Raw genomic sequence first — 19,073 nt, forward strand, 5'->3', positions numbered from 1 at the left:
CACTTTGGGAGGCTGAGGTGGGCAGATCACGAGGTTAGGAGTTCGAGACCAGCCTGGCCAACATGGTGGAACCCTGTCTCTACAAAAAATACAAAAATTAGCCGGGCATGGCGGCACGTGCATGTAATCCCAGCTACTCAGGAAGCTAAGACAAGAGAACCTCTTGAACCCTGGAGGCGGAGGTTGCAATGAGCCGAGATCATGCCACTGCACTCCATCCTGGGCAACAGAGCGACAAAAAGAGAAAGAAAGAGAGAAAGAGCAAAAGAAAAAGAAAGAAAGAAAGAAAGAAAGAGAGAGAGAAAGAGAGAAAGAGAGAGGAAGGAAGGAAGGAAGGAAACAAAGAAACTGAGGCTTACAGATTTCCTGTGACTTACCCCAGATCACACATCAATAAATGGCAGGTTATCTGCACCCAGAGTCCAGATCCCAAAATGCAGTACTACTTTTATAATTGCCTTCTAGAGAGTGAAGAAGCTTGGGTGGTAAAGAACTCTTCATTTAGAGCTGTGAGGTGCATTTCTGTAAAGCTACCTACCAAAGCAGTGGAAACACTTTGGAGCTAGACTGACCTCACCTTGAATCTTGCAGTTTATGGTGGTGTGACGTCGGGCAGGATGGGCATTTCTGGGCCCTAGTTCCCTCATCTGTAAAGCAGAGCACATAGTAGGCATAGGAGCACATAGAAGGAAGTCAATAGAGCCTTGCTGTCATTTTTTTCTTGCCTACTCTCCTCATGCCTGGCTCTGTTCCAGTAAGTGCTCATGCTGTTCCAGCTTTTTATGATAGAAAGGCCATATCAGATATACTTCAGAATACCTTTTAGCAATGAGAAGAGAGGCTTAAGAACTGAGCTCACCTTATATTAATATAGAGTCCAGGCCCACTTGAAGTGTTTTTTATTGGGTAGCCAAGGCAGAAAGATTGCTTGAGGCCAGGAGCTTGAGGATGCAGTGAGCCATGATCATGCCACTGCACTCCAGCCTGGGCAACAGAGTGAGACCCCATCTCAAAAATATATATATATTTTTACCACCCACACAGAGGTGCTGTTACAATTGCTTATGAGACAACAGTGAATCACCTTATTACTACTGAGTCATCCCACCAGTACTGGGACAAAGATGAGCAAAAGCTCATCAGGGCTGGTCCCAGCTTTCCTCAGAAGTCTGGAAGTTCTTTGCTTTGATTTGAATATTTTCTTATTCTTCCTAAGAGCCAGTGATAGCCTTGGGGACATCGTGGCACAGTCAGGGTTAGCTACCCTGAGCCTAAGTGTGCTTAGATTTGCTGTTCCAACTGGAAAATAAAAAACAAAAAACAAAAAAACAACCAACAGGGCCGGGCGCTGTGGCTCATGCCTGTAATCCCAGCACTTTGGGAGGCTGAGGTGGGCAGATCACGAGGTTAGGAGTTCGAGACCAGTCTGACCAACATGGTGAAACCCCGTCTCTACTAAAAATACAAAAATTAGCCGGGCTTGGTGGCACGCGCTTGTAATCCCAGCTACTCAGGAGGCTGAGGCAGGAGGCCTCCTTGAACTCAGGAGGCGGAGGTTGCAGTGAGCCGAGATCACGCCATTGCACTCTAGCCTGGGTGACAGAGCAAGACTCCATCTTAAAAAAAAACAAAAGCAAAACAAAACAAAAAAACACCCAAATTGGTCATCAGTGAAAAATCAGATTAGCCACGCAAGTTGTCTCAAAGAAATAACTAATATCATCAAAACACAATAATCCAGTGACCTTCCTTAACAGACCAGACCAAGAAATGTAAAGGTAACTTAATTTTCTTAAATGTGTCATGCTACATGCTAAATAAATAAGAACATGAAAAAAAAAGAGTATATGGAAACAGAGGATGAAGTTTCTAAGCGCACCATGCATGTATCTACAACATCACGAATCTCTTAACTTTTCTTCCTCCACCTTCCGTACCCTCCCTGACCCCTAATTAGGATTATGTGTACTTGCCTATGAGTTCTCAAATAGCTAATGATACAAGGCTTTTCCTCAAACTCCTCCTTAGAAACATAGAACTCATTGTCATGAAACAAACATTTTCATATACTTTCTTGGGCAGGCTTTCTTCCCATTTAAAGAAAGCAATATTTACTTTTCAAGTGCTGTGACTAATTTTAGCTGAAAAAATTGGCTTGCTATAACGTGGACATAGCCTGTGGTAATAGGCTAAGTATTTAATTCAGCTTTTGCATCATTCCAGGTAAAGAAGCTGGTGTAAGAATTTTTAAATTTAAAGCAGACTTTTTTTTTTTCTATAGGAAGACTTTCGTATTCATAGTCATTTATATTATAAAATAGCTTCTTATTTACAGCTCCTCTCTCAACATTGACAGGGTAGTAAAAAGAGGCAAAATAAAACATTATCCGGGAGGCTGAGGTGGAGAATCATTTGAATCCGGGGGGTGGAGGTTGCAGTGAGCCAAGATCACATCACTGCACTCCAGCCTGGGGGACAGAGCAAGACTCCGTCTCAAAAAACAAAACAAAACAAAAAACAAAACAAAAAACAACAAAAAACAGAAACAAAAACATTATCAGGTAAAAGCACATGGTGTCTCTTGAATATTATTCGGCAATTTTAAAAGTTTATTCTTTCTGGGAAGAGAGCCTTTAGTCATTTTGCAGAAACCACTCTGGTTTGTAAATTAACTACATAAAACATTTTTAATCTTTGCACCTTGATTTAGTAGTTCCTTACTTGATCAAATTCCTTTTAACATCATGGGAGTTAATGTCTGAATAATTATTTTAGACTTGGGCTCAACACAGATTTCCATATGGGCAAATTCTAGGTAATGGGTGAAAAGTTTTGGTCTTTGTGTGTCAGGTGGAGGAGGAGGAAGTGAAACTTCATAGCTTTAGAAACTAATACATATTTTATTTCTGTTCTGTGTTCGATGGGATTTATAAATAGAACCAGGGGACTACCTGTGGAGGCCACATGTTGTTATATGGAAAAGTGAGACTTTGACATGTGCAAAATCCTGAGCATTATCCTGAAAATCTGTGTTCAGAAAAAACAACCCTTTAATCAGCTGCCCTTCCGATACAGGTGGTCTCCCAGGCAGCTTTTTCTGTGTGAACAAATGAACAAGGAGAGGAATCTGACTGGTCCATTAGTGAATAAGCTGCTTTTGGGGAAAAATGCGAACTGGATTAAGGCTGGATTTTCTAAGAAAGAGGATAGGATCTAAGACCTGGAGATTGGTATTTGGTTTTTACGCACACAATACCCTTTTAGTGATTCTAGTAGATCTAGAAAGGAAGTCTGGCCAACTCTCATCCACATGGGAAGAGGACCTAAAACTAGTACTATGGGAGCCTGAGTAGGCTTGAGGGTAAAGGGTTTGGGCAGGGCTGGCCCAAGGCAAAACTGTGAAGAAGGGAAAGCTTGGTTTCCAGATGAACTCCCAGTCCCAGCCTTACCCCAAGTCCAGGCTCCCAGTAACTTCCAATGGGGGCACCACAATTGTCCTTTCCTGCTTGAGCCTGGATTGCTTGGTTGGGATCCAGATTATAAAAGATGTAAGAAACAGTAAAACAAGCAACAAAAGCCAACAATTTATGTATGTATTTGTGATTATGAAGATAGTAGATGTTAATTACAGAAAATTTGGATATTCAATAAAAAATAAAGAAAATGGGTTACTTTTATCCATCCCTCAGAGTGAATCTTAGCATTTCTGTACATTCTATTTCTATTATACACAAATACATCACACACATTTTGGGCGGGAGTAGGGATATCACAGTTGACCTTTAAGATTATTTTTTCTCTCCTACTCATTAACATTTTTCTGTTCTATATTTCATTCCTTTAAGATCTTGTTGAACACTAGAGGAACAGTCAGTTTTGTGGCAATGTGACATATGCACAACTATACAATAAATATCATAGTTACTATGGCAAAAATGAGATTGGGGAAACACTCAAAAATACTTTGTCAGTGACACATGAAATAAGAGAAAGCTAATAAAAGTGGTAGCACAGTTGTACCCATGTTAAACGGTTAAGCAAGACATAACTTGTACAATAAATATGGCACTATCTCTTGAGAAAAAGCTATTGTTTACTTATGAAGTGGGCATTGGAAGGGTTGTACCTTGTGAGTTATTGTGCAGTGGTAGAAAGAAGGTTATTTGAAATCAACGGAAAGTCGTAACACCAGATGTGAATGGATGTAGCTTACTGTCCTCCATTTGGTATTGGCACCAAACATCACGGTTAAGTGATCTTTCAGTCTTCAATCTTGGGACATGTTTTTCTGTCTTTAAGAGGTAGATCCCTTCAGCCAGGCGTGGTGGCTCACGCCTGTAATCCCAGCACTTTGGGAGGCTGAGGCGGGCAGATCACGAGGTCAGGAGATCGAGACTATCCTGGCTAACACGGTGAAACCCCGTCTCTACTAAAAATACAAAAAATGAGCCGGGCGTGGTGGAGGGCATCTGTAGTCCCAGCTACTCGAGAGGCTGAGGCAGGAGAATGGCGTGAACCCAGGAGGCGGAGCTTGCTGTGAGCCGAGACCGCGCCACTGCACTCCAGCCTAGGCCACAGAGGGAGAGTCCGTCTCAAAAAAAAAAAAAAAAAAAAATGATGTAGATCCCTTCAAGCATTTGTTTGGAATAGATATATTTTTCATCAAAATTTAAAATTTGATCCCATGAATAGCCTTCTTCTTCAATTAACTTCTGTATGACAACTGAAAATTTTTTTTTTGTAGCTTTCTCATTTGCACTCACAGCTTTTCTGGATAGCTGAAAGCTTTGGAAATTGTAGGGATGCTTAAAAAGGAGCCAGTACTAGCACTAAAAGGAGCCACTTCTGCAGGATTTGGTGATTTCCATTTAACATCTTTGCATATAGATAGTGCTTTCGTTTAAGCATGCACTGCTTGGCATTTTGAACCAGGTTGCTTAGACAGGTTTGGGATGTTGAATTAGACAGGTTTGGGTTGTTTACATAGAAAAGCTCAGAAGTGCAAAAGAATAGCAAAACTCAATCTTACAGCATGATATATGTGGTATATTAAAGTAGCTGGTAGATGTTTGAGGCGTATGTGCACTTTTTTTGTATTTTTATCCATCTTGGTTCAGTTGGGTGCAGTTTTCTAAGTTCATCTAGCATATTTTGCTCGCAAAATCGTGCATAGACAAATATGAAATTCAAGTTATGCTCCATTGTTCCCTAATATATCAATTATGTTGGAATACATTTGTGTTTTTCAAAACAAGTATTATTGCAAAGTTCACTGTAGTCTGATAATCACATTTATGGTAAGGCATGACCAGGTGGTAGAGATGCATAATCCTTTATCTGCAATTTTGAAACCTATAAAGCTCTGAAAACTGGAAGTTTTTTTTTTTTAACTCAGCTTAGATAAAGCTTGATCCAAAATAGGTTCATTTGTCATCAATCTGGCTTAAACTGATATAAGGCTCTTTTCCTTATTTATGTCACTTAATGTGGCTATGTATACACTTGCTCCAGAAATATTATTGCATTTGATAACTAAATGCTAAGACCCCACTATAGGTTTAAGTAATATATGGTATAAACAGCTTTCTAACATCCCCCAAATTCTGAATTCTGAAACACAAATGGTCCCAAAGGTTTTGGATAAACAACTGTTGATTTGTAATGGACAAAAATGTATGACTCATTTTGAGCAGCACATTTACATTTTAACGGGAACCTTCAGCATCCTGTAATATTTATGGGTGACCAATCACAGGAAGACTGTGGGGCCAGTAGCATGGCTGACCACTTCTTCCTTTGTTGAAGCTGTCTTCTTTGGCTCCAGAACCCCATATTTCTTCTAGTCCTTCTCTTTCCACTCTAGAACCTTCTTAATAGATTTCATTATGTGTTTCTCTTCCTTGTCCATTTCTAAAATCCATGCTTATAAAAGTATGGTCCACAGCACATCTGCATCAGAATCATCCAGGGAATTTGTTCAAAATACAACCTCCTGGGCATTAGCCTGACTTTATAAATTAGAAACTCAGAAACTGGGGCTAGATATATGTATTTTCAACAATTTACTTCATGATTCAGATGTGCATCAAAGTTTGGAGTCCACTCCTTTTAATAATAGTGTTCTTCAATTTCCCTACCTTTATTCATTTCTGAGTTCCACTTTGGTCTTATACTATCAATGATCATATATATGCTGACAACTCCAGTATCTTGCTCCCCACTCCTGGGACTCTTATATGCAACTGCTAACTGGATATTGCTAACCTGGAGGTCCCATGGACTCTACAAAATCAGCATATTCAAAACTGGACTATCTTCTCCATACATTTCAATGAATGGAACCACAGCCACCTAGTTTGCCAAGCCAGAAATCTCAGCCTTTCTTTCATTGTTCTCACTCTCAACTTTGACACCCTATCTCCATTTTTGAAATTTATCTTCAAACTTTTTACTTTTCTTTTTTTTTAACTTTTATTTTCAGTTCAGGGTACATGCGCAGGTTTGTTATATAGGTAAACTCATGTCATGGGGGTTTGTTATACAGATAATTTCATCACCCAGGTACTAAGCCTAGAAGCCAATGGTTATTTTTTCTGATCCTCTCTTCCCTCCCACCCCCTACCCACATGTAGGCCCCAGTGTGTGTTGTTCCCCTCTTTCTGGCCATGTGTTCTCATCATTTAGCTTCTACTTGTTAGGGAGAACATGCAGTATTTGGTTTTCTGATCCTGCATTAGTTTGCTAAGGATAATGGCCTCTAGCTCCATCCATGTTCCTGCAAAAGACGTGATCTCATTCTTTTTATTTTTATTTTTTTATTATTATTATTTTTTTAGTATTTATTGATCATTCTTGGGTGTTTCTCGGAGAGGGGGATTTGGCAGGGTCATAGGACAATAGTAGAGGGAAGGTCAGCAGATAAACATGTGAACAAGGGTCTCTGGTTTTCCTAGGCAGAGGACCCTGCGGCCTTCCGCAGTGTTTGTGTCCCTGGGTACTTGAGATTAGGGAGTGGTGATGACTCTTAATGAGCATGCTTGCCTTCAAGCATCTGTTTAACAAAGCACATCTTGCCCCGCCCTTAATCCATTTAACCCTGAGTTGACACAGCACATGTTTCAGAGAGCACGGGGTTGGGGGTAAGGTTACAGATTAACAGTATCCCAAGGCAGAAGAATTTTTCTTAGTACAGAACAAAATGGAGTCTCCTATGTCTACTTCTTTCTACACAGACACAGTAACAATCTGATCTCTCTTTCTTTTCCCATTTCCCACTTTTCTATTCGGCAAAACCGCCATCGTCATCATGGCCCATTCTCAATGAGCTGTTGGGTACACATCACAGACGGGGTGGTGGCTGGGCAGAGAGGCTCCTCAATTCCCAGACGGGGCGGCCGGGCAGAGGCGCCCCCCACCTCCCGAATGGGGCGGCTGGCCGGGCGGGGGCTGCCCCCCACCTCCTGGACGGGGCAGCTGCCGGGCGGAGACGCTCCTCACTTCCCAGACGGGGCGGCTGCCGGGCGGAGGGGCTCCTCACTTCTCAGACGGGGCAGCCGGGCAGAGACGCTCCTCACCTTCCAGACAGGGTCGCGGCCGGGCAGAGGCGCTCCTCACATCCCAGACGGGGCGTCGGGGCAGAGGCGCTCCCCACATCTCAGACGACGGGCGGCCGGGCAGAGACTCTCCTCACTTCCTAGATGGGATGGCGGCCGGGAAGAGGCTCTCCTCACTTCCCAGACTGGGCGGCAGGGCAGAGGGGCTCCTCACATCCCAGACGGGGTGGCGGCTGGGCAGAGGCTGCAATCTCCGCACTTTGGGAGGCCAAGGCAGGCGGCTGGGAGGTGGAGGTTGTAGCAAGTCGAGATCACGCCACTGCACTCCAGCCTGGGCAAGATTGAGCACTGAGTGAGCGAGATTCCGTCTGCAATCCCGGCACCTCGGGAGGCCCAGGCGGGCAGATCACTCACGTTCAGGAGCTGGAGACCAGCCCGGCCAACACGTCGAAACCCCGTCTCCACCAAAAAATACAAAAACCAGTCAGGCGTGGCGGCACGCGCCTGCAATCCCAGGCACTCGGCAGGCTGAGGCAGGAGAATCAGGCAGGGAGGTTGCAGTGAGCCGAGATGGCGGCAGTACAGTCCAGCCTCGGCTGGGCATCAGAGGGAGACCGTGGAAAGTGGGAGACGGGAGACGGGAGAGGGAGAGGGAGAGGGAGAGGGAGATCTCATTCTTTTTTATGGATTGAAAGTATTCCCTGGTGTATACGTACCACATTTTCTTTTTTTTCTTTGTCTTTTTTTTTTTTTTTTTGAGGTGGAGTCTCAATCCGTTGCCCAGGCTGGAGTGCGGTGGTGCGATCTCGCCCCACTGCAAGCTGCGCCTCCTGGGTTCACGCCATTCTCCTGCCTCAGCCTCCCGAGTAGCTGGGACTGCAGGTGTCCGCCATCACGCCCGGCTATGTTTTGTATTTTTAGTAGAGACGGGGTTTCACCGTGTTAGCCAGGATGGTCTCAATCTCCTGCCTCAGCCTCCCAAAGTGCTGGGATTATAGGCGTGAGCCACCGTGCCCGGCCGTACCATATTTTCTTTATCCAATCTGTCATTAGTGAACATTTAGATTGATTCCATGTCTTTGCTATTGTGAATAGTGCTGCAGTGAACATGAAAGTGCCTGTGTCTTTATGGTAGAATGATTTATATTCTTATGGGTGTATACCCAGTAATGGGATTGCTGGGTGAAATGACTGTTCTGCTTTTAGCTCTTTGAGGAATTGCCACATTGCTTTCCTTGATGGTTGAACTAATTTACACTCCCACCAACGGTGTTTAAGAGTTCCCTTTTCTCCACAACCTTGCCAGCATCTGTTGTTTTGACTTTTTATTTTTATTTATTTTATTTTATTATTTATTTATTTATTTTTTTGAGATGGAGTTTCACTCTTGTTGCCCAGGCTGGAGTGCAATGGCACAATCTTGGCTCATTGCAACCTCCGCCTCCCAGGTTCAAGCGATTCTCCTGCCTCAGCTCCCGAGTAGCTGGGATTACAGACATGTACCACCATGCCTGGCTAATTTTTGTATTATTTTTATTGTTATTTTTTAGTACAGATGGGGTTGCTCCATGTTGGTCAGGCTGGTCTTGAACTCCTGACCTCAGGTGATAGGCCTGCCTTGGCCTCCCACAGTGCTGGGATTACAGACGTGAGCCACCAAGCCTGGCCTTGACTTTTTAATAATAGCCATTCTGACTTTTATGAGATGGTATCTCACTGTGGTTTTGATTTGCACTTCTCCAATGATCAGTAATATTAAGCATTTTTTCAAGGCTTGTTAGCCATATGTATGTCTTCTTTTGAAAAGTGTCTGTTCATGTCCCCTGCCAACTTTTTCTATAGGGTTGTTTTTTTTTCTTGTTTAAATTTACTAAATTTAAACAAGAAATTTAAATTTTTTCTTGTTAAATTTATTTAGGTTCTTTATAGATGTTGGATATTAGACCTTTGTCAGATGCATAGTTTGCAAATATTATCTCCCATTCTGTAGGTTGTCTGTTTACTCTGTTGACATTTTCTTTTGTCGTGTAGAAGCTCTTAAGTTTAATTAGTTCCCATTTGTCAATTTTTTTCCTTTTGTTGCAATTGCTTTTGGTGTCTTTGTCATGAAATCTTTGCCCATTCCTATGTCCAGAATGGTATTGCCTCAGTTGTCTTCCAGGGTTTTTATAGTTTTGGGGTTTACATTTAAGTATTTAATCCATCTTGTGTTGACTTTTGTACATGGTGTAAGAAAGGGGTCCAATTTTAATCTTCTGCATATGGCTGGCCAGTCATCCCAGCACCATTTATTTAATCGGTGTCCTTTCCCTATTGCCTGTTTTTGTCAGCTTTGTCGAAGATCATATAGTTGGAGGTGTGCAGCTTTATTTCTGGGCTCTCTATTGTGTTCCACTGGTCTATGTGTCTGCTTTTGTACCAGCATCATGCTGTTTTAGTTACTGTAGCCCTGTAGTATAGTTTGAAGTCAGATAGTGTGATGCTTCCAGCTTTGTTCTTTTTGTTTAGGATTGCCTTGGCTCGTCAGGCTGCTTTTTGGTTTTATATGAATTTTAAAATAGCTTTTTCTAGTTCTGTGAAGAATGTCATTGGTAGTTTGATGGGATTAGCATTCAATCTATAAATTACTTTGGGCAGTTTGGCGATTTTAATGGCATTGATTCTTTCTATCCATGGGCATGGGATGAGCATGGGATGTTTTTCCATTCATTTGTTTTATCTCTGATTTCTTTGAGCAGTGTTTTGTAATTCTCATTGTAGCGATCTTTCACCTCCCTGGTTTGCTATATTCCTAGGTATTTTATTTTTTTTGTGGCAATCGTGAATGGGATTGCATTCCCGATTTTGGCTCTCGGTTTGGCTGTTGTTGGTGTATACAAATGCTAGTGATTTTTATACATTGATTTTGTATCCTGCAACTTTGCTGAAGTTGTTTTTCAGCTGGAGGAGCTTTTGGACAAACTTTCTGCTTTTCTCCTTTCCCTAACCTATGCTATCATCACCTCTTGCCTAGACTGCTGTTACAGTGTGATCTTCCCATTTCAGACTGTGTTTGTCAAGTCCATCCTCCATAATGGGACCTGATTGACCTTTTCAAAATGCAAATCAGAACATGTCACTATCAAGCTTAAAAACATTTAAAAGCTTCTATTACACTTGCTAAAACCCAAAATCCTTACTAAGGCCTGCAAGGCCCTGCTTAGCCCTCCAGCCTCATCACTATGGACCCATACCCTGTGACATCCCACCCCCTACTTCCATTTTATATAGGTGTCCCTGCCAAGTGTTCCAGTGGCATCTCCCACTTCTACCCCAGCACTCATCAGACTGTATGTAACTACTTGCTTAATTATCCATCTCCTCCATCATCGTACACTCAACTCTATGATAGTAGGACCTTGCTTGTTTTGTTTATTGTCTAGTATTCCCGTGGAAAGCACTCAATATCTGATGAGTAAATAAATAAATGAGTTACTTCGGCATGTGTGAATGTGTAGGCAGGGGTGGGGTCTTTTATGCTTCTCAAGCAAGACCAGTAAGGATGTCTGGCCAATTCAATTTAGTTCAAGACAACTCAGTCTAGCAAACAGTTATTAATGAGTATTTATTATGCACTATTGGGCATGTCACAAAGTTGGAGAAGACAAGGCCTCTGCCCTGAAAGACGGTTGCCCTAACCTAACCTGTCACTGGCTGGCATCCTGCTGTTCACGAACAGATGGTTCAAAATCACAGTGCCACTGATGTGAGGACTTCAGGAACTGCCTGATGCCTTCACTTCCCCCTTGATACCTCATCTGTCCTCACTTCAGGTGTTTGCCCAGATTATGCCCGAATTTGCCACATTCGTTAGTATGAGAAAAGAACCGCATAATGACAGAATTCTCTAAAGAACATTCCAATTCCCCACTGCTATGTGCCCTTAGCCACTGGGAAACAAGCAATTTCCACATAAGATTACATTTATAGCAGGAGGTACAGAAAAAGCAGGAGTTAGAAAAAAATCTCAATTCTGTCATGTAATAACAGTTCGACCTCGGGCAAGTCTTGTTTTTTTGTGTATGTTCGTATAAGTAGAGATAACAAAGCCACACCACAGGTTTTTGTGAGTATTAATGCTATTAACAAAAAATAATAATGGCTAAGATATATACAATGCTTGCTTTATGCTAAGTATTGTCTAAGAGCCTATCTCGTTTAATTTTCCTAACAGTCTTGTGTGGTAGTTACTAATATTATCTCTCCTGTTATGAGTAAGGCTGGTGAGGCTTAAGGAACTTTCCCTTAGTTCCTTTTAGTTAAAAAGCAGAGGAACCCGAGTTTTATGTGGGTGGCTTGGCTACATAGTCTGTGCCCTTAATCATCTTGTTACCGTATGAGGTTGAGGTTAATTGAAGATTTTCATAAAATTTCTATTCTATTATTGGGGAAAAACAGCAAAATATTTTTTAAAGGGACTTATTTTATTTCACTTTAATTCTCTTGTTTTCCAGGACCTACAAAGGGAGTGTGCTGTAAAAAGTTTTCTTATTCTATAGAATAAATGGGTGCTGTTAGAAATAACATGGCATCTTTTATGCTATTTTTTTTTTTTGGATGAAGTCTTGCTCCATCACCCAGGCTGGAGTGCAATGACGTGATCTCGGTTCACTACAACTTCTGCCTCCTGGGTTCAAGTGATTCTCCTGCCTCAGCCTCCCAAGTAGCTGGGATTACAGGCATGTGCCACTATGCCTGGCTAATTTTGTATTTTTAGTAGAGATGGGGTTTCGCCATGTTGGTCAGGATGGTCCTGAACTCCTGACCTCAGGTGATCCACCTGCCTCAGCCTTCCAAGTGCTGGGATTACAGGCGTGATCCGGCACCATGTCCGGCAACATCCACTTTTCTAACATGTTCCCACAGCCTTACTTCTGTGGGTCTCAAGCTTTCTTCGTACAAAAATAGGGTTCCACTGTAATGAAACACATTGGGGGATATGAATATTTGGGTCAAAGTCTATGGCATGTAATTGACCTCCCTGGAGGTCAAATAACCAAATTCCCTTAATTACACCTGCTTCTAGGTAACTGAGGCTATTTATACATTCATATTGTATTCTTTCAAAGAGAAATTGGATATAGTGGCAGGAATATAAGCAGTATGCTGTAACTTTAGAAATGTATGCATATTTACATACTTACGCACTCTATAGCTTATATTATAGTATGATTTATTACAGCAAATGAGCCCATCAGCAAAGGGCAATTTTTATGAAATGGCAGCAGCATTTAAAAAGCTTAAACACTGTGGTTCATATTTAGGCCTCAACCTGTTTGAAGGCACATTCTGAAATGTAGGCATAAGGCCCTAAAAAGATGTGAAAATAGGCTGGGCGTGGTGGTTCACAACTGTAATCCCAGCATTTTGGGAGACCTAGGCAGGGTGATCACTTGAGGCCAGGAGTTTTAGACCAGCCTGGCCAACATTGAGAAATACCGTCTCTAGTAAAAATACAAAAATTAGCCAGGTGTGGTGGTGCATGCCTGTAATCCCAGCTACTTGGAAGCCTGAGGCACGAAAATCGCTTGAACCCGGGAGGTGGAGGTTGTAGTGAGCTGAGATCATGCCATTACATTCCAGCCTGGGCGACAGAGCAAGACTGTCTCAAAAAAAAAAAAAAAAAAAGGTAAAAATAAACGTGCATTAAGTAAATAAGATTACACATTTAGTGAGATAAAACATGAACATTTAGAGAAACTGATATTTGGAGTATATGCAATCTATGGCTGAGAACATAGAGAGAAAATGTCTCCTAAGTGATGTTCTGACTGATTTGTATTCCCCCGAAATTCACATGTTAAAGTCCTAGCCACCAGTACCTCAGAATGTGACTTTGTTTGGAGATAGGGCCTTTAAAGAGGTAATTAAGTTGAAATGAGTTTATTAGGGTGGGCTCTACTTTAATATGACTTGTGTCCTTTTAAGAAGAGAAGAGATTAAGACACAGACAAGCACAGGGGGAAGATCATGGGGAGAACACAGTCATTTACAAGCCAAGGAGAGACAGGCTTCAGAAGAAACCAAGTACCGACACCATGATCTCGTTCTTCTAGCCCCCAGAATAGTAACAAAATAAATGTCTGTTGTTTAAGCCACCTAGTCTGTGGTACTTTGTTATGGCAGTTCCCAGCAAACTAATACAAGTGGTTTTACCACTTCCCACTCCTTGATCTTTTTGCCCTTGTTTTTGAAGACACAAGTATTGTTTCAAGTTTTTCTTCTTGATTTGCCGGTGAATATAACATGATTCTCAGAATAGCCAACGAGGAAGTCACAAGGGTTTCATTTCTGTATTGAAGTGTTGGCTGAGTCAAGTTAGAAGCTGGGAGACCTTATATATTAAGTTTATCCTTGAACGGGAACAAAGGATAGGATGCTTATTATATTTGTAGATGACAAGAAACCAGAGAGCACAGTCAACACAAATCATCTTGATTGGCTGAATAGGAGTTAAGCTGAAGTAGAGGAAAATTCCAAAGAGAAAAATCTAAGTTCTTGAACTTAGATTCAAAAAAGTCAATTGCATAAGTGCAAGATGGGAAAGAAATAAACAGTGTATGTACTGAAAACAGTGTGAGTCAACTGAATGATGAGAATGCCCCTAAATTCAGTGTGTTTATAATCCATCAATTATAGAGCCATTGTTTCCGGTGTGTCTGGTAATAAAATGAGCTGCTTTAGGAGGTAGTAAGCTTCCCATTGCTGGAGGTGCCCAAGAAATAATTGGGCGACTGCTTCTTAGGGATGTGGCAGAGGATACATAGATAGCTTGAAGACACACCTGTGGTTGAAGTTAAACTCACATTAATTGTTTCCTGAGAAATTGAAGACCTTCTGTCCCCATGTAATTCTGAGTTTTTGGTATTGCGATTTTTAAATATTAGTAATTAGGAAAACTGGGGGAAGGAACTGGAGATAGCTCTGAAAGCCGATACCACTATTAATTTGCTTTTATCTCGAGTTATTGGTATCTTTTTTGAGAGAAGTCATTTATTTAAATGCGGATTTGGAAACACTGGTCCTTGTATTGACAGTGGCCAGCCTGACAACTTCAGTTATTGACTGAATTTGATTTATTCTGAGGTTAGTGTCTTAAATGGTGATACGTTGATCTTGGTTTCCCCTCCGACCTTTGTTGCTTTTAAGATAATCAGAAGCTGATCTATAAAACATGTGTTTGCCTGCATAGACTAGTGAAATCTTACACTGGGAAAAGTCCCCATTTTAATAAGCTTTAAACAAAAAATTCTACCTTACATGCTAATTAGAATCTAAATTCAGGTGTTAACCTCTTTAACTGAAAGTGCATGTTGAGTAATTGCAGGAAAGGGGCCAATTTCAGGCACAGCAGTAATTACTGAATTAGTAGAAAAGTTCAAGTAGGGCTTCAGATTTCAGATCATTACTGAGCTTTCTGAGGAACAGCTAATCCTGGAGTGATTGGGCTTCTCACACCTGTGTGTGCACTTGTTTGTGTGTGTGTGAGCGTGAATAAGTATAAAGGAAGTTCCATTTAAATTTCAAAGAAATAATCTTGCAAACAACCACAGAATTAGATACTAATATTTCTTGTTATTTAAAAATATAATTTTAATGACCTCTGAATTGACCTTTAATGCTTCCCTACTGATTTTAAAAATGAGGGGAAGTCTGGGTGCGGTGGCTCACTCCTGTAATCCCGCCACTTTTTAGGCCAAGGGTGGGTGGGGGGGGAGATCACGAGGTCAGGAGTTCAAGACCAGCCCGGCCAACATAGTGAAACCCCGACTCTACTCAAAATACAAAAAAAAAATTAGGCAGGCCTGGTGGTGGGCCCCTGTAATCCCGGCTACTCAGCAGGCTGAGGCAGGAGAATCACTTGAACCCGGGAGGCGGAGGTTGCAGTGAGCCAAGATCGTGCCATTGCACTTCAGCCCGAGTGACAATGTGAGACTCTGTCTCAAAAAAAAAAAAAAAAGGAAAAAACCCCAGAATCTGTTCTATCTGATAAAATAACTTTGTTCTTAAAATTTAATCCCCGAATGTCCTGGGAATCAGCCTTTAATATGCTAAGAAGCATCTACCTCTTATATATACTCTACACTGAGGGCCTCATTGAATCTGGTTATCGCCAAAGGTTAATTAAGCTCTTAAACCTACTGTATACATTACATGATTTAATAATCATATGAAAGGACATCATGGGACGCAATGAGTAATGACAGGTAATGATGCTCCAGTGATATCCCCATCTTTGGTTGATGGTAGATGAAGCAATGTGAATAAGAGTTATGAACCTCATCACAGTATCAAGCTAAAGAAGTTAGCTGTGCTTTATCAGAATCAGAGAGTAAAGTAAGAAGTAAAGTGACAAAGGAATCAGTAAGCAGGACATTTTACTCAATGAAAAGGAGGAAGTTCCAAGGATGATGGTGAAGGGGGATTGTAAAGGGTGGATGACAGCTGTGCAGCAGGCCACAGGAATTATCCATCCAGATTGTAGCGGGCAGCAGGCTCTAAGAGAATGAAATTAAGATGAACTTGATAGCATCCATGATGTGCTTAAATACACTGGAAAAGATTGAGACAATAGGAGAGTGTGTGAAGATATATTGGTGATAAATATCTATAAAAATACACCAAGCTGAAACAAAAAGGTAAATGAAAAGAGAGAACCATTAACTAAAGAGAAAACAAAAAGTTATGAAAGATGCTATGGAAATAAATGAAAGATATCTTTACCTCCTACTATGGTATGATCAATATATCCAGGTTATATTGTTAAGTTAAATGCTTCCATTTTCCTATATATTAGTTCTTTCTCGCACTGCTATAAAGAACTACTTCAGACTGGGTAATTTATAAAGAAGAGGTTTAATTGGCTCATGATTCTGTAGGCAGTACAGGAAGTATGGCTGGGGAGGCCTCAGGAAACTTACAATAATGGTGGAGGGGGAAGTAGACATGTCTTATGTGGCCAGAGCTGGATGAAGAGAGAGAAGGGGGAGGTGCTACACACTTTTAAACAATCGTATGTCATGAGAACTCACTCATATCATGAGAACAGCAAGGGGGAAATCTGCCCCCATGATCCAATCATCCTCCACCTCTTCCAAAATTGGGGATTACAAGTCAACATAAGATTTGGGCAGAGACACAAATCCAAACCATATCACCCTAATAATATCCGTTTGATTATATTAAAATTAAAACAAGCAAAAACTCATCTGAGAGGGAGGTTAAAAATAAAAATAAAAACAAGAAAAATACAATTCATAAGATAAATTTAAGGCAAGGGAGGCAATAGCCAGAAATTTTAAAATATATATTGCTTTATAGATTTGATTTTGGAACCAAGTTAACATTCTACTTAATTACTAAACAAAATTAATTTTTAAAATACAATCCCTAAAAAGCAAAATAAAATGAAACAAATGAACCTCACTGTGTAGCCAGTGAATGGCATTATCTCACAGAGGAAAACCGTTCCGAATGGCTTTTACAACACAGTTATTTGTCTATGTGTTCTTAGTGGCATATATTCTAAGGAGAATTATTTTCAATAATTATAACTGTTTTCAATAATTATATTAGCAGTAGTAGTATTGGTATTGCTACTCTGAGACTATTGTATAATTATGTTGGTATCAACTGGAATATTCAGTTAAAAAAAGACAAATATGCAAGATCAATGAAGTTGAGAAAAACCTTGAATCTGTATTGACAGTATCAACATAAACTTGTATTTTATCATTATATATCTGTATCACATATATGTTACATATACATATCTTTTATCTGTTCACTGTTCACTAGAAAAAAATGATCAACCCAGTAGCAATAAGCACCACTCATGCTCATACCATGGTATCTAAATATAATTTCCCAGTAAAATGGAAGACCAGAGCTCTTTGGAGAGAAATGTCCTACTCCAGGTCTAAAGTAGGAAATGTACAAGATGACCCTGGAACATCTTGTCATATTAGAAAACAAGGCAGCTATCAGAGATTACTGAGGTTCTGTCAGGACTTAGGAGCCAACTTGAAGAGGCCTCTGCTGGCAGACATAGGAATAATTTGAGTATATACGATAAGGGTAATAGCAATAAATAGAAATATATCTAATATGGTCATGCTATGGTTTCATAAGCGGTATTATTATTATTATAGTAATTATTTAGTAGCTCACCTAGTAATCTGTCTCTCCATTGAAGTTCTATGATACTTACTGCCTGTAACACTCATTTGATAAGGAGTGATATACCACCTTTTTTTCAATAATAGTTTACCTGTTGTATGCCTTTTAAAAATTGGCTTATCTCTTAAAAATTGTATCTATTGCCGGGTGCAGTGGCTCACGCCTGTAATCCCAGCACTTTGGGAGGTCGAGGTGGGCAGATCACCTGAGGTCAGGAGTTTGAGACCAACCTGACCAACACGGTGAAACCCTGTCTTTACTAAAAATACAAAATTAGCTAGGCATGGTGGCGCATGCCTGTAATCCCAGCTACTAGGGAGGGTGAGGCAGGAGAATCGCTTGAACCCAGGAAGCCGAGTGAGCCAAGATCATGCCATTGCACTCCAGCCAGGGCAACAAGAGCAAAACTCCATCTCAATAATAATAATAATAATAATAATAATATCTATCTATGAAAAAAATCAAAATATGGCAAAAGGTGTTTAAAAAAACTATTTCTTCACTCACACATTCCTAATCTCTTATAATTATCCCATCTATCTTTAAAAAGTAACTACTATCATATTTCATATAGAACACTTTTTAAAAATAGTATCCTTATCTAAGTACAGTCATGCACTGCATGACGTTTCAGTCAACGGTGAACTGCACATATGAAAGCAGTCCTTTAAGATTATAATGGAGCTGAAAATTTTCTATTGCCTAGTGACGTCATTGCTGTCCTAATGCCATAGCACGACGCATTATTCACCTGTCTGTGATGATGCTGGTGTGAACAGACCTACTACGCTGCCATTCATATAAGAGTATAGCAATACAATTATGTATAGTACATAACACCTGATAATGATCAAAACAACTGTGTTCTGGTATATGTATTTTCTATACAATAGTTTTAATTGTTAGTGTGCATTTATTTTATTTTTTAAGTTAACTGTAAAACAGCCTCAGGCAAGCCCTTCACAAGGTACTTCAGAAGAAGACATTCTTATCATGGGAGGTGACAGCTGAACGCTTATTACTGCCCTTGAAAACCTTCCAGTGGGACAAGATGTGGAGGAGGAAGACAGTGATATTGATGATCCTGACCCTGTGTAGGCTGGGGTTAATGTGTGTGTTTACGTCTCAGTTTTTAACAAAAAATGTTTAAAAAGTGAAAAAAAAAAAAATAAATAAAAAATGCTTGTAGAATAAGGATATAAAGAAAATATTTTTGTGTAGCTGTACAGTGTGTTTGCAGTTTAAGCTAAGTGTTATTACAAGAGTCCAAGAGTTTAAAAGAATTAAAAAGTTTAAAAAGTA

The 19,073-nt window shown here is 40.5% G+C and overlaps 2 annotated features.

Annotated features, from left to right (window-relative positions):
- Positions 7,375 to 7,968: an enhancer, noted in NCBI's record as "H3K27ac-H3K4me1 hESC enhancer chr3:181643649-181644242 (GRCh37/hg19 assembly coordinates)". NCBI's record gives its function as "activates a minimal SCP1, AML or CMV promoter by ChIP-STARR-seq in primed H9 embryonic stem cells {active_cell/tissue: H9 hESC(primed)}" and the evidence as "EXISTENCE:reporter gene assay evidence [ECO:0000049][PMID:30033119]".
- Positions 7,969 to 8,560: an enhancer, noted in NCBI's record as "H3K27ac-H3K4me1 hESC enhancer chr3:181644243-181644834 (GRCh37/hg19 assembly coordinates)". NCBI's record gives its function as "activates a minimal SCP1, AML or CMV promoter by ChIP-STARR-seq in primed H9 embryonic stem cells {active_cell/tissue: H9 hESC(primed)}" and the evidence as "EXISTENCE:reporter gene assay evidence [ECO:0000049][PMID:30033119]".

This window comes from Homo sapiens, chromosome 3, assembly GCF_000001405.40.
Source record: "Homo sapiens chromosome 3, GRCh38.p14 Primary Assembly".
Lineage (NCBI taxonomy): Eukaryota > Metazoa > Chordata > Mammalia > Primates > Hominidae > Homo > Homo sapiens.